The 17,158-nt window shown below is 34.2% G+C and overlaps 1 protein-coding gene across 19 annotated transcripts in view; it reads left to right on the top strand.

Moving 5' to 3' along the window:
• The window catches only part of NRXN1 (neurexin 1), a 1,113,630-nt gene that overhangs the window by 966,053 nt on the left and 130,419 nt on the right, over window positions 1-17,158 (top strand). For 11 of the 19 annotated variants that reach the window (NM_001330084.2, NM_001330093.2, NM_001330094.2 and 8 more), the window contains 2 exons: window positions 11,036-11,125; window positions 12,490-12,809. In NM_001330084.2, the coding sequence (NP_001317013.1) occupies window positions 11,036-11,125; window positions 12,490-12,809 (410 nt within the window). The remainder of the gene's footprint in view (window positions 1-11,035; window positions 11,126-12,489; window positions 12,810-17,158) is intronic. The other 8 variants (NM_001330096.2, NM_001330087.2, NM_001330083.2 and 5 more) reach the window with 1 other exon arrangement.

Below are 17,158 nucleotides of genomic sequence, written 5' to 3'. Positions count from 1 at the left end.
TGAGATATGTGTAGGAACCGCAGTTGTAAATATACGCCTTGAGTTGTTGACAGGTGGCATGAAAGCACTGGGTTTCTGGAGCTGTGTAAAAGGAAACGCAGAGATAAGAAATAGGCAAGAAGGAAAAGAGGAAATGTGACGTCCAAGCAAAATTTACTGTAACATGTTACAATATTCTTTTTCTCTGACAAGTCAATGAAGTACAGTGGTCTTTTGTGTCACAACTAGGATCCTCTCTCCATTTCCAACGTGTTTCTGGAGAGGTTCAACGTCCAAAAAGCACTGAAGTTAGTGGATTATTATGCTTGTGGCTTTTCTTATAGGTTAGAGGTAAAGACAAGGAATGTCTGGAACATTTTATGCCTCCAGTAGCTATGCATACAAGGCATCATTATAAAAGGAAAAAAAACAAAATACTGCTTCTCACTGGGATCTCCACTGTTATAGGTCTTTGATCACTTTACTTACCTCTGCTTCACTGTCTTAATCTATAAAATGGAGATGATAAAATTATCCTCCTGATAAATCGTTGAGGATTTAGGGAAGATTACTGATTTCATGTGTCCATAAGGGCGATCTCACCCCAGAATCTAGAAGACAGAAACTTTGTAGACAAGCCTTAATGACATCTTACATTATACAAAAGAGTGCTATAAGGATTAAGGAGAAGATGTTGGCCCTTATGACTCACGGTATTAAGAGATATTACTTTATAACTATTCCATGGAACAACTTTCGAGTCAGCTTTATCTTGATTCAAATGGTCCCTCTTTCTATGATGTATGATGCAGCATTAGTTTTATGTCATCTCTTTGAGCCTCAGTTTTTCCATCAGTAAAATAAAAGGTACTTATGGTCTGGGATCAATATCAGCATTAAACAAGATAACCTAAATAAGCAAGTAACACAATGCATAAAACATGAAGCTACTCAATACATTATTTTCTTATTTTCTGGTGGTCCTTTGTTTTCTTCAGTTTCTTTACCTACAGACCACTTTCATACGGAAAAACTGGATTTCCCAGCATGCATGAAACTTAATTGTAGCTTTACTGTCTGGTCTAGTCCTGCTGTCTGACAAAAACCATCCTTTGATTCTGGTAGTGTGTGTTCATCATTCAGTGAGGTCTTAAAAGTCCAGAAGACAATCCAAGCCCCTCGCTGCTCTTTATCAGCCACAAATCAGGCAAATTCTAGAAGCCCTCTGCCCTCATGTTACAAAGGCTAGAAGATCCATAACTTCTACTACCTGACTTTATAAGCTTCAACTTTGTATCATTTTTGCCTTGGTTAAATGAATGTTGCTTTCTTTACAAGGCATTGATGTATTTATTGATGAACTTTGGAAGTAAATGCTCCTTGGAGGGTTAACATTTCAGTTTAGTAAAAGATTCAATTTAGTAAAAGATTAATACGATGTGAAGAGAAACCAGAGTATCAACATTTCAATTTATTTGAAAGAATTCACCACTAAAATTCATCTAGAAAATATAGTCTTGGAGATGATACATATTTTGAAGGTTCATCAAGTCCAAGACTGTTTCTTGTACACAGTCATTAGAGAATTGAAGCACTTGCAGAAATTTCCCCCTGACCAAATCAAAGATTGTCATGATCAGCTCTCTACACAATTAGAAAAAAAAAAAGAAGATCCCACGTGGTATTAATTTTTCTGCTAATGTGTATGCACCACAGTAGAGCTCACCTCAGACTATAAATCATTGACTTGTAATTAATCATAAAAATAAGATTTAAAAGATTTGTCCTATTGTGTACTACAATGGCAAATTCAAAATTGATGAAAGATAAGCAGAGTTACTGAGTCATTTTATATATATAATGAATCAGTAATTATATATATTATATATAGAGACACATATTTTATCTCTATTTAGTTTAGTGTCTGGTAAACTGAATAAACTAAATAGACATGCACACATATGTAATTAGTGGACACTAAATGGTCAAGAAGAAAAAAGGAAATCTGACGTCCAAGCAAAATTTACTATAACGTTTTGCAAAGTTCTATTCCTCTCACAATCCAATGGTGTTTGTGACTATATATACATATATGTAAGTGGACACTAACAATCTCACTGCCTTATGGATCTTGAACAAGAAATACCACTATGTTATCATGCAAAAAATTACCTCAAGTGGTATTTTTTGCATAACTGTATGGGTTCAGTTTTCATTTAGAAATTACTTAACAAGCAATTACCATGTGCTCACCATTGTGTTATACATAAGGCGTACAGCATTGAACAAGACAGACATGGTTCCTGCTCACAAGGAATCTAGAATCTAGAATCAATTACATGAACTTCTTTGATCATGATTATAGATATTGCTACTAAGTATTTTAAGAATGCATAGTGGAAGAATTCATTAAGTAGAATAATTTGGTGGAGCAGTAGGGGACACAGGGAATGCTTCCTTGAGAAATGTATAAGCTGATATTTAAAAAAGAAAAAATTTAGCCAGCCTTAGATGTGTGTGTGTGTGTGTGTGTGTGTGTGTGTGTGTGTGTGTCTGTTGAGGTGGGCAGAGATGTTGAGTACACAGGGATGCAAGAAATTCGCAATGCAAAGGAGAATGTCGGGTTCAAAGTGGATTGGCTTAGCTAAAGGAATTGAAAAAATTACAAAGTGACTAATTTAAAGAGTCAGAGAAAAGTAGTTCAAGATGAAACTGGAGTAAGCTGGAGCCAATTATATATGTGTATTCGGCTTTTACATTTTAATGATATAGGAAATAAAGTAATATATAAGACAAATGTTTTATTAGAATAGCTATATTTTTCAAAAGTTTGTTTCTCAAAAGGTGTCGATATTCAAAATCTATTTATTTGGAACATTATCAGCCAAGTGAGGCATTATGGTATTTGCAGGGTCTATATGACAACAATACACATTGCATTCAGTTGAAAATTATGTGATTATGCTGCACTTAAAATCAGAGTATGTTTACAAAACTATTACTTTGCCTTCTGGGCCTAGATATATCCAAATGTCTTGTTCTCATTTAAAAATCAGTCTGTACACAGGTTACTAATCTTCTCTTGTGGTATAGATGACTTTCAGAATCCTTTTGTGTTTCTTTTCCCAATGTTAAAAACTCAAGAAATAAGAAGCCTTCCAAAGAAGCAAGTCTCTTTTTGTTCTTGTTATTTTTATTTTCATATTATTCTGCACAAATGTTTGGTTCATAGCATTGTTTTTCTTTACTTTTTCCCCATAGATATTAATATGTCATATCAAATGCTGACACTTTTATTTCTGAGGAGAAATTACACAAGAGTGAAGAACTAAAATGAAAGGAGAAAAACTATACATCAGTGATGTTCATATAGCTTGTCTCTACTGATCGATAGTTATAACAATATGATTAAAATTGTATTTATCTTTGTTCTCTGAGTCACACCATGAAATTTAACTCCAAGTCAAGGATTTGAGTTTTATTGCTTTGTGCTACTTACCTTGATTCTTTGTAATTACTCTCATTTCCCGGAAGTCTGCTTGTTCATATAGAATAAATAGACTAAAATGTGACCAAATATTGTTACATGGTATTTTTGTCCATTTGGGCAATGATAATAAAATATTATTAACTGAGTGGCTTAAAAACAATAAAAGTTTATTTCTTTCAATTCGGAAGACTAGGAAGTACAAGATTCCATTTCTAGTGAGGGCTTGCTTCATTCTTCACAGGTGACCATCTTTTCATTGTATCCTCGTATCACAGAAGGAGGGAAGGGAGTTTTCTGGAGCCTCTTTTATAAGGGCACTAATCCCATTAATGAGAGCTCTTTCCTCATGACCTAATCAGCTCCCAAAGGCTTTACCTCCTGACACTATCATATTTGGAATTAGTTTTCAATAGATCAATTTTGGGAGATACAAACATTCAGTCTATACAAATAGGCAAATAAAATTATCTGGGATTTAATCAAAATAGAGGGTATACATTCCAAATATAAGCCATCAGATTTTCCTTTGAATTCTTCACCCCAGGAAACTTGTTTGAAGTATTAATGATATTTAATACCTTACAATGACATTTAATACCTTACAATTAGAGATTGTACCTTGTTGCAATGGCATTACTACAGGGATTGGGGGGAAGGGAGTCTTTCCTCCTGTCAAAAATACTTAATTCTTTTTGAAATTCAAAGGAAAATAAAACCAAATTTTACATGCAGTTTCATTGCTTGAAAATTACTTCGGCAGAGGCATGTATGTTGTCACTGACATTTTCAGTGAAGGTACCAACAGATCAAACCACACAAAATTAACTGGAGGAAAAAGAAATCAAAGGAAAATCCTATCTTGCTTTTATCATGGGAAAAGTGTGAGACTAAATTGTTATCTTTTAACTATTCAATGAGAAGGCTCTGCTTTTATAAATCAAGCCTATTTGCTCAGCATGTTGCTATAGTAGAGTTTTATGCTTTTAGAAAGAGATGAAATTCCTTTTGGACCCTTTTTATAGCCCGGAATGTATAGATCTTTGAAAAGTGGGTCATTTATTGCTTTATCCTTACCTCTGATTTAGAATACTTGAAGGTAAAAATGTCTTCTTCGAAAGATTCAACTTTGTTTTGATTTGAATTTTCAGGGACATTCCACTTGTTTTTCATCTCACCTACCAGCTTAAGCCTGCTTACACTGACCATTCACAAATGCTGTATGTAAAGCTTCTATATCCCAGCATATTTGATATTAGATCCTGAACCTTTCCAAAGAAAAGAAAAGGTCATTGGAAATTATTTTTGCCTTTGACCTTTCCCAATCAAATGGTTTATATCCTTTATATTGCATGTAAGGTCTAGATGTATATTGAACAATGGACAGTATTAAATATAATCAGCAAAATCATGCAAAGCTACTGAATGATATTTTACAAGTAAATATCACCATGAATTTGTAAAGAAATAAAATACATCTTGAGAAATTATTTAAAATAATATACTTCCATTACCCCTTTTAGTATGCAACATTTTTATGAAAATCATGAGGTAAAGGAAAAATATAGGCCTAGTCGCTGGAGAACCTAAACATTCTGAACTATTTTATACCTAATGGTGGAAGGATTTGGGGAATCATCTATTAAAAAGACATTGTCGCTGTACTTTATTTAGATGTGTCTTCACAATGTTTCCATTTTCATACTGCTTTGAAGAAATACTAGAGACTGGGTGATTTATAAAGAAAAAGAGGTTTAATGCATTCACAGTTACATATGGCTGGGGAGGCCTCACATTCATGTCAGAAAGACGAAGGAGGAGCAAAGGCATGTCTTACATGGTGGCAGGCAAGAGAGCATGTGCAGGGGAACTGCCTTTATAAAACCATGAGGTCTCATGACACTTATTCACTATATGAGAACACCATGAGAAAAACCTGTCCCCATGATTCAATTACCTCCCACTGGGTGTCTCCCATGACACATGGGGATTATGGGAGCTAGAATTCAAGATGAGATTTGGGTGGGGACACAGCCAAACCATATCCCTGGCCCCTCCCAAATCTCATGCCCTCACATTTCAAAATCAATTATGCCTTCCCAGCAGTTCCCCAAAGTCTTAACTCATTTCAGCATTAACTCAAAAGTCCACAGTCCAAAGTCTCATCTGAGACAAGGCAAATCCTTTCTGCCTATGAGCCTATAAAATCAAAAGCAAGGTGGGTACTTCCTAGATTCCGTGGGGGTGCAGGCATTGGGTAAATATATCTGTTCCAAATGGGAGAAATTGGCCAAAACGAAGGGTCTACAGGCCCCATGCAAATCTGAAATACAGTGGGGCAGTCAAATCTTAAAGCTCCAAAATGATCTCCTTTGACTCCATGTTTTACATCCAGGTCATGCTGATGTAAGAGGAAGGTTCCCATGGTCTTGGGCAGCTCTGCCTCTGTGGCTTTGCAGGGTACAGCCGCTTCCCTCCTGGCTGCTTTCATGGGCTGATGTTAAGTGTCTGTGGCTTTTCCAGGTGCATGGTGGAAGCTGTCAGTGGATCTACCATTCTGGTGTCTGGAGGACAGTGGCCCTCTTCTCACAGCTCCACTAGGTAGTGCCCCAGTGGAGACTCTGTGTGGGGGCTCCCACTCACATTTTCTTTCTGCACTGCCCTAGCAGAAGTTCTCCATGAGGGTTCTGTCCCTGCAGCACACCTCTGCCTGGACATTCAGGTGTTTTCATACATCCTCTGAAATCTAGGTAGAGGTTTCCAAACCTCAATACTTGACTTCTTTGCACCCACGGGCTCAACACTACATGTAAGCCACCAAGGTTTGGGGCTTGCACCCTCTGAAGCAACGACCTGAGCTGTACATTTGCCCCTTTTAGCCACAGCTAGGATGCAAGACACCTGAGTCCTGAGACTGCACAAACAGCAAGACCCAGGGCTCAGCCCACAAAAACATTTTTTCCTCCTAGGCCTCCTGGCTTGTGATAGGAAGTGCTGTTGTGAAGATGTCTGACATGCTCTGGAGACATTTTCCTCGTTGTCCTGGCAGTTAACCTTTGGGTCCTCATTACCTATGCAAATTTCTTCAGCTGGCTTGAATTTCTCCTCAGGACAAGGGTTTTTCTTTTCTATTGCATTGTCAGGCTGAAAATTTTCTGAACTTTTATGCTCTGCTTCCATTTTAAACATAAGTTCCAATTCCAAACTGTATCTTTATAAATGAATAAAACTGAATGCTTTTAAGAGCACACAAGTCACGTCTTGAACACTTTGCTGCTTAGAAGTTTCTTTCACCAGATACTCTAAATCATCTCTCTCAAGTTCAATGTTCCACAGATCTGTAGAGCAGGCATAAAATGCTGCCAGTCTCTTTGCTAAAACATAGCAATAATTTCCTTTGCTCCAGTTCCCAATAAGTTCCTCATCTCCATCTGAGACCACCTCAGCCTAGACTTTTTGGTCAACATCATTCAACAAGTCTCTAGGAAGCTCCAAATTATCCCACATCTTCCTGTCTTTGTCTGAGCTCTCCAAACTGTTACATCCTCTGCCTGTTACCCAGTTCCAAAGTCAATTCCACATTTTCAGGTATCTTAATAACAGTACTCCACTTTACCAGTACTAATTTACTATATTAGTCTATTTTCATACTGCTGTGAAGAAATACCCAAGACTGGGTAATTTATAAAGAAAAACAGGTTTAATGGACTCACAATTCCACATGGTTGGGAGGCCTCACAATCATGGCAGAAGGTGAAGGAGGAGCAAAGTCATGTCTTACTTGGTGACAGGCAAGAGACCATCTGCAGGGGAACTGCCATTTATAAAACCATCAGGTCTTGTGAGACTTATTTACTCTCATGAGAACAGCATGGGAAAAACCCACCCCCATAATTCAATTACATCCCACTGGGTCCCTCCTGCCACTTGTAGGGATTATGGGAGCGACAATCCAAGATGAGATTTGGGTGGAGACACAGCTAAACCATATCACAATGTATCTGCATATAATTTTGCAGCAGAAAAGTCATTAGTTTTTTATTCTAATAGGAGAACAAAGTCATTAGTTTTTTATTCTAGTAGGAGAACAAAGAATTTAGAGAATAAAGTAGGTATATATTGAATTGAATAAGCACCATCTGATTTTCCATTCATTACCCATACAAGAATAAAGTCTGTCCTGTAATTAAAAAGTTCTTCAGTTTAAAACAGTGCTCACTGAATTAGTAGGCATCTGATATTCTGGGGTAGTAGGAAGATATGACCCCCTTGTGTGGCTACCTTTCTTATATATTATCACATATTTTCATAACTTGTGTCTACTGCCTATTCGATTTTCTAAATTGTTTTATTGTTGTTGTTAGGTGACCTCTGTTAATCATTGGGAATTCAGTGTTTATGTTCTTGCTTTAGCTGAGTCTCAGCAAGGATCTCCAAAGCTTCTGTTGACTTACATCATACTGTCATACTATATCAATCACACAATTATTTTATTAGTACTAGTCAAATGTTTGAGGACAAATTCTATGTATGTATGTGTGAATGTATTTATGTGTTTATGTGATCTTTTTAAAAGTCATTAAAATAATCTATAAAGCTTTGATTTTTCTCTACCTGTCTTGTTTAGACCTTTTTTTCCCCAACCTTTCCCTACTAATAATAACTATGTTTACCAATTTTGTGACATGGGGAATTTATTATTAAACAAATAATGAACTGATTGTAGAGATGTTCAAATCAGTGACAATTCATCAAAAAATAAAATTATAAGTGAGGTTTATGGTGTTTCCTTTGGAAAGTGCAAAGGGAGGCTTAGCTACAAGTGGTTTATTCTCTGGACACTAGTATTTGCTTTCTTTTTCTTTTTAATGTTGTTAGGTTGTAAGAATGTGTTAATAGTGCAACAGAAGCTACCAGAACTAAAAACAAGGTTTTCTTGACTACCTCATTCTACAGATATTAATAGGATTGTATGTGATAGATATTGTGCAAGTAAGCACTGAAGAAATAATAAATACTGCACATAGTAGCATAGTACTTGGCCTCATGGAGGGATATTCAGAGTTTGAAGGCAAACTATCAAATTTGCCATTACAGGTTCAATGCTTCTTTCTAAAGGGCATGTTTCAGGAGCTACAAATAATATAGTCAAGTGTCCTAATGTAACCTGATGACATCAGGGAATACCTTCTGGGGAAGCAATGTTCCTACCAAGAAGATTCCATTAATTAGTAATGGTTAGCTAATGAAAGATAGAGATGAGGTGGGAACAAGGGAGAGTATTTTCCATAAAGGAAGCTACATGTGCAAAGTCCCAGAGAGAAGAAAGAAAAGATTTGGAAGAATTGAAAGAAGTCTCATAAGGATAAAAAGAGCAGAGTGAGGCAGTGATGGCCGTGAGAGGGGACAGGGAGGTAGGAAGGGACCAGATTGTGGAAGTACTTACAAATTTCACTAAGGGTCTGAGATTTTATCCTAAGAGAAATGGGAAGGGTTATACTAGACAAGTGACATGATTAGATATTGGCTTATATGGAAAATGGGTGTGATTAATCACAGAGAAGATGTAGAGAGGTCTGTCAATAGACTGTAGTAGTAATTGGGCAAGAGGGATTTGCGACCTAGATTCGGATGGTGTCTGAGAGAATGTGGGTCATGCCTGATGATTGGAAGACTCTAGCATGAAAAACATGAGGAACCACCTAATCATAAAGTTGTCAGAAGTGTTATGCCAATGTGAGTTGGTATGAGTATTGAGTGACAAATAAGACTATAGAGCAAAGGGTATGTATTTTTGAAAATATTTTGTGATTGCTTTTCAAATTACACATGTCAAACATGCTTATTATATAAAATCACTTATAAGCCAAAAACATGTAATTGATCAATAATCACACTGTCCTAAAGTAACTAATATTACATTAAAAAAAAATTCCAAATATGCATATATGCAAACACACAACAGAGAACACAAATTTTGTACACTTTTAAAAAATGAAGACAGGGTTGGAATTTTGTACCATTTGTGTCCTTTTAAAAAAATTATTAGTTTAACAAAACTATATTCCCACATTATAAAATATTATTTTACAATGTTTTAGTGATCACAGAATACAGAGAAATACATATTAATGTTTTCATTAAACTTTATATTTGCCTTGACTTTGATATTTACATTTTAAATTAAATATTAATGTGTGAAATATTTTCAGTCATATAGACATTCAGATGACAAATTGATGAGGTCTAAAAGATAGTTCTTTTCTATCTCTCCAAAAGTGTGTAATCAGTATTATGCTGGGCTTATTAGTGGTAAGTATAATGTATTATAAGAGTAGCAAAAGAAAGCACTTATAAATTATTGTAAATCAGAGGAATAAAATGTAAATCTATTCATTTATCTTCTCTAACAAAACACTCCAGTCTTTTTATGCAGATAGTGCTACCATTCAACATTTCTTTCACCTCTGAGTCCTCATCTGAGCTAATGCCAAAATGTCTTGGCTTAAATTTCCATGTTAGTTAACTCTAATGGAATAGAAAATCTCTTCTTGCATTATACACAACTCAACACCGAGATGGTGTCTCAGATTCTTCGTAAGTGCTCTACAGATCAAGAAAACACTCATCTATTTGCAAGCAATATTCAAGGTCAATTTAAACAGTGTTTCTAGCAGATAATTTTTTATGCAAAGAAGCAGGGCTCTCACTTAGGTTAGATCTATGAATAGGGGCCACTGTTTGTGGCTTATATTCGTTCCTTAAGCTGTCATGCTTTTAAAGAATAACTTAATAAAAAGCAGATATTTGACTATATAAAAACATACATATAATTATTTTTTCAAATGTTATTTGCTTCAACATGTTAAGCTTTAAATGAAACTCAAGGACACTCAAATAAAGTGACTTTTGTCAAAGCCTTTTCCTGTAATAACGTATCTGGATGATGCAAGATGCATTCTCTTGTGATGTCCAAGTGATTGATAAATCAATTTGTGTGAAATACACAAGAACTATTTGGACTTTGTTGTTTTCTTAAATGAGGTGAATAAGAATTTCTGTTTTCTGACTAGGAAATAAAGTATGCTAGGCCTATTGTAGATGCTTCAGTGTGCCAAATATGGTATTAAGTTTGGTGATCATAAATTATTAATCTGGAATAAGAGGTTGAATGTATTTTGAAAACTTAAACCTGTTTCACCTGAACATGTTTAACTAGTTAATAAGAAACATCAAAAAGACAAAACCCTGAGGTCATTGGTCATTTTTTGTAAAGCTATTATATGCTGTTTAAATTGGTTGTTCGGGTCTGTCTATAACATAAGTTTAATAACCTAGCTCAAATGCAGATTTCTAATTTTCAATTAACATAGGAATAATTTTGTTTGCTAAAATAAAATAAATGAATGAATGACAAGTCTGAAACATGAAATGTTCTAGGTAGAACTTTTTAAAATTCCAAATTTCAAAAAATCATGTGGCAACTGTATAGCTCAATCTTTAAGTATTAACTTTTAACCTTTGACCTTACAGATTTTAACCAATGAAATGTCTCTTTAAACTTTAAAGGAAACAATGATAACGAGCGCCTGGCGATTGCTAGACAGCGAATTCCATATCGACTTGGTCGAGTAGTTGATGAATGGCTACTCGACAAAGGTAAAAAACATTGATTAAAACTTCAAATAAAAAAATAATTTGAACATAACCAAGTAGTACTTCATTGTAACACTAATAAACATAAAAAATAAATTTTCCGTAAAACTAAATTAAAAACAACTTTAAAACAGTAAAATGTAGATAGTAATATTTGCATACCTTGTATAATAATTTCTATACATTTTTAGACGTACCAGCTGTTTAATAATCTTACCCAGTTAACTTAAGGTTAAAGGGACTGTTAAATATAATCCACTAACTCAATCTATGAGGGTACTCACAGCAAGCATTAACCCAAAATGATAAATCATTCATAGACTATATTACATGTTCCAGCCTCTAAATTATTAACTAAAATATATGTAGTTCTGATATCTTTATTATGGTCCTGAAAAAAACAAAAACTCTTTGTTTAAACTCTAGGAATCTTAAATAGTGGGCAATATGAATTGCCAGTCATAATGAAGTCCCTTTAACATTTGCAACCTTCTAAGAGGATTTGGGAACAAGCCCATATTAAAACTGAACTTAAAGTTGTGTGCATGCTTTTATGAGCAGAGAGCAATCTGCTAAAACTGGATACTCAATTTGATGATAATGGTACTGTTATTAAGGATTGCTGTTTGATGGAAATGTGCCATAATTTCTCCATCGGTTTGTGTATCATTCCTGAAGCCGCTTTTTACATCTGAAGCTATTTTTTTTTTTCATTTTGTTTTGTTTTGATAGACTTGCTGAAAGCCAATCAGAAAAATATTTTTGGAATTTTTTTGTCTCTGACATGCTCAGTGTAAACCATGAATTTCTTTTCAGTGTGATTGCCGGAAAAATAGAATAATTCAAATAACAATGAATAATTGCCTTCAAAAAATAAACAGCACTAAAGAATAACATATAGATATATGTGGACATTATGTGAATTATGAAATTTTTACCATAAAATTTAAATTAGATTTCAGCTGCTATGTATTAGTTTCTGTCAGTGGTAATTTCAGAATGACAAATACTTGAAATGTTGTCTTACATTTTTAAAATTTAACAATTTAGACTTTAGACACCAACAATATAAGATCTTGATGTAAAAGGGAAAAGGGATCCACTAAAAACTGATTTGTAATACATATCTTTGATTGGTCTTTTAGCAAAAGCACTACATTTATAATAAGTTGAGAATTTACAAGTATTTGCCAATAATTATGCATTTCATGGACACCTCATTTATAAGCAATGAATTATGAGTCAAATGCCTCTCTTATAGTTTATTGCTCTCATTATTCACCCCATAAAAGATCTGTTTTATCATCCATTGTAGATATAGAGTTCACAATCAACATTTTTGCATGTATGTAATATTATTTTTACAGGGCGTCAGCTCACAATCTTCAATAGCCAAGCAACCATAATAATTGGCGGGAAAGAGCAGGGCCAGCCCTTCCAGGGCCAGCTCTCTGGGCTGTACTACAATGGCTTGAAAGTTCTGAATATGGCAGCCGAAAACGATGCCAACATCGCCATAGTGGGAAATGTGAGACTGGTTGGTGAAGTGCCTTCCTCTATGACAACTGAGTCAACAGCCACTGCCATGCAATCAGAGATGTCCACATCAATTATGGAGACTACCACGACCCTGGCTACTAGCACAGCCAGAAGAGGAAAGCCCCCGACAAAAGAACCCATTAGCCAGGTGAGCCTGTGGATTTTATTCCTTCATTTTCATCCTATATTATTTATGATAGTGGGCTTTTCTGCATATGCGTCTTTTCTAAATTGGAACATTTTTCTGATCTTAGGCACTACAGCTTCCTTTGAAACTAGCTTAACATAATGCATTCCGTTTGAATATGAAATGTGTGTATGTTGTTCATTAGAGGTTTGTGGACTTTTACAAAAGATTTTGTTTTGGTTTGTTAGATGCTAAATGATAGTCTTGATTCCATAACCCTCCTCTGGCCCAAGCTGAGTAGATCGTCTGCTAATTACATAGGATTTTCACTTTTTAGTTTAAATGAACAAGTTAATGAAATATTTGAAAACCTTGTCTGTTTAAGCTCAGCACTTCAAAATAAAATCAAGGCAAATTTAATCTTAAAAGAGATATTTTAATAGTACAATACTTCTATAGTATTTTGAAGTTTAAAGTTTTGAATTGATAGCCAGCCATGTGGCTTTCTTGGTGAATGATGGGTATACTCTTTCACTATTTATTTAAAAATAAAAAAACATTCTATTGGTTTATCTGAGCACACAAACCCAAAATATGAGGTATTTTGTGTATGTGATTAATTGCCCTCACCTACAATTAACTCTAATTAGCTTATTTCAATCTTGTGCCTAAAATTTTTGAAGAATATGATTTTTAAATGTGGCATTTGCACAACTTGGAAGTATGTTAATTCAATCAGGACATAATTATTGATTGCCTACTACATTTCAGGCACTGGTTTGAATATTGGTGTTCCATCAGTGAAGAACACAGGGAAAAAAAAACCTTATTCGAAATGCTGTTAGATGCTGTTCAAATGCCATTAGATTCCTGTTGGTATTTGCAGCCTTTGTATGTATCCAGTTGTTAATTTTTTCAGAATTGTGTATTATCCTTGGTCCAAAATTAATTGTTTCGTTTTGTTCTGTTTTACTGATAGTGAGTATATTCAGTAGGTGCCATTTAAAGCTTTTCCAAATACACGATCCCTACTTTTCCAGAAAAATGCATTCTGAAGAAGCAAGAATGATAATTATATTTAAATTTGCTTTTACTTCTTGCATTTGAAACAGACCTGCATCCAGTTTGGAAGGAAAATAATAGAAGGCAAATTCTGTTTGTATCAGCACCCCAAATATGAATTAACATGTTTCCCAGAAAATGAAGAAAATTGACTCTGATTTTTACTTTGAATGGAAAAGGGTGAGAGGAACAGAATAGATGAAGAGAAAATGTCCTAGAAGAGGGATGGGCAAAAAATACAAAAAATGCAAATTAAATGTAGTGTTGGATATATTGTACCTACATGTGCACTTATTTTCATTTTTCTCTCTTTTCTTTTCGTTTCCTATTTGCATGTGGCTACAAAATAAAATGGGATGTCTTATAGGGTGTTCACAAATATATATTTATTGATCACTGTCTACATGTGCCAGATACTTTTCTAGGCATGAGGATATATTGGTAACAGCAAACGAAACCCCTGCCCTCAAAGAATATACATTTTAGTAGGACTGTTTGCCTGCAATGTGATCCTTTTGTTGATTTTCTCTCGTTAGGATTTATAAGGTTGCCAATAACATCATAGCACTTAGTTCCTTGGATAAAGACTTGTGACTTTAGAAAGATTTATGTTTGCCCAATAGCTCCATTTAACATTCTTTGCTAATGTTTCATTAATGATTTGTTACTGCTGTAGATTTATGGTTCACTTACTGATAAGCAAGTTATTACAGTAAATCTGATACAGGAAAAATGAAACAAATAAATTGATAGACTTTCCTTTATCTAAAATAATTCACAAGAGGACATTCAGAGTTAGGAATGCTTTTATGAATATAATTTGAAATAATCAGGTATTTTTCTTAGTAGTCTTGTTTTATCATTAATGAGATTACAGTTGCCAAATCTCCTATATAAACCAGGTGTGTCCCAAAAGAAGAAAATATTATCAGCATTGGTTTTATGTATTTTGTCAATTAGTAACATATATTAAGAAATATTATTTTTAAGTACAAAACAGCTGTTTCATTTGAAAGCTAAATACGTAGAAATGCAGAAATAAAGATTTATGCATTTTATAATATTAAAATGCAGAAGGTAAAGAGTTAACTGCTCCTTAATTGCCAATGAAAAGAGCCTCTTTTATTATAAGCTATTACATGTTTGAAGACAGCAGCAGTTTATAGATGTAAATGATCTAATTAATTAGTGAATACTTGGTTCATTTGAGGAGATATTGACTTAAATAAAAGATTATTAGGTTCATTTAAAAATAGATATTTAAAATTGTTAGCTTTGTAATAAACCAGTGACAGTAATTAAAGAATTTGACTTAATATGTTACAAGTATTCAGTAGTAGCAACAGTATTTTAAAGTTGGGCTAATAGGTTTTAAAAGTCTCTTAAGTAGTGAGATATATATATGAATACAGATAACAACACATGTATGTATGGGGAAAAAACATTAGGGAAGAAAGCAATTTATTTATATTTGAGTGACAGAATAATTTGTTGAAAATTTTCCATAATTCGTAATTGACTTTTCAATTGTCCTCTAAATACAGTAATATTTAAACCAGGAAGTTTAAATATGAGATAAATTTCTAATGTTAATTTCGAAACTGTAAACTTTGACCTATTTTTACAGGTTGGATGAAGCATCTTCCTTTAAATGTTGTCTATAGTGGCCATATCCGCCTGCTTTTATCAACTGTCTTACTAAATTGTGTATCAGAAAGGGTCATTTCATTTTTCAAAAGCCACACTGGACTGTTTTCTCAATCAAAGTGCATTTTTCTCAGTGATAACACTGAGCCACTTAAGCTACAATGGCAATGTACCTTGGGGTGATTGCATGTTTTAAAACTATGGAAACAGATTTTTGGTCAGGCAGAATTAAATTGGACTCATTTCAAATAGATGAGATGAGGTTTGTTCAGCCATCCTGCAGGGATAGTAATAGGGAAGAAATGTATTTCAGTTTTCACAGACTCAGAGAATATAGTAGTGTTCATCAAAATATCCTCCATAAAGTCCTGTTTATATTCCTACTTAAAGTAAATATCCTTTTAAAAGTAAAAAAAAAAAAAAGAAGTTTTGCTTTGAATGATAATCAATTTTCAGCCCAATGTTTACTTTAGGAAGATGTGATTTATATCAAGAAATAATAGGGACATTTACCAAAACTTCTGATCGAATTGTTCCTTTTTAATGTGAATATAACAATATTGATAGTACTTTTTATGTGGATTACATAAAATTTATAAAATTTATAAAATTCATTTTACTTGGAATATTTAATTTTTAAATGTTTCCATAAGGCCTCCTGATTTTATGAAACTTTCCAGAAGGCTAATCTCAGAAAGCAAATATTCACAAAAACTATTGGTGGTATAAAGTTCTTTGAGATTCTGAGAGCTTCTTGGCATGTGGCAGGAGTATCATGCAAGTTTTTTGGCTGCTAAATGTTCCCCCTCTTCTAATTAAACTTGCAATGTCTTATGAGATGAGTACATGTAAGCCAACATGAAGAGGACAACACTTCCTTCCTTTGCCTGTCCACAAAGAAAGGAAAATTGAACTGTGCTGTTTCTTTTACGATCAAGCTTGTGACATCGTTTCTGGAATGTTCTTTATAGCACATTTTACGATCTTTTTGTTCTTTCCTTCGAGAATATTTTACAAGCTACATACATACTATAGAGAATACATACATACTGTAGAGAGATTGTAGTATAATGGAAAGAGCATGATGAATGAGGAGACCTGGTTTCCACTTTCAACACAACCACCTATCTCGTCATGTGACTTGGACAACTTGGGTCACATCATTGTACTTTGGCCTTGCTGCCTCTGTAAAATAAGTAGGTTGAACTAGGAAACTCTTAAGTTGTACTCAGCTCTAAGATTTCTTTGATTCTAGTGATGATGCTCTTAATTAGGTCTTCTCATGATTATTTACCAAAACATAGATTTCACCTCTGTCTTCCATCATGTGGCCATGCAGCCCAGTTGGCCTGGATAGTACCTGTGCATACCTGATGTTCAGTGTAATTATTAATAGTATATTTTTGACTCTCAAAAGTATGCCATTTGGTCTATAAATTATATTATACTCTACTTTTACAGCATATCCAAAATTTACCTTTGCAAGAAAAGCATACTTCATAAGAATAATACATATTATGTCCTGTTCTTTATATTCAGAGCAAAATTTGTCTGTGGTATCCTTGCCTGGTTTTTAGAATCCATAACCTTTTTTATTTTCTTTTTATCTTATTTCAACAATGTTGAGAAAAGAGAGAGAATAAAATTTTGAGAGATTCTGG

This window comes from Homo sapiens, chromosome 2 (assembly GCF_000001405.40).
Source record: "Homo sapiens chromosome 2, GRCh38.p14 Primary Assembly".
Taxonomy (NCBI): domain Eukaryota; kingdom Metazoa; phylum Chordata; class Mammalia; order Primates; family Hominidae; genus Homo; species Homo sapiens.
The sequence above is the reverse complement of the archived record's forward strand: the minus strand, read 5'-3'. Positions and strand labels throughout refer to the sequence as shown.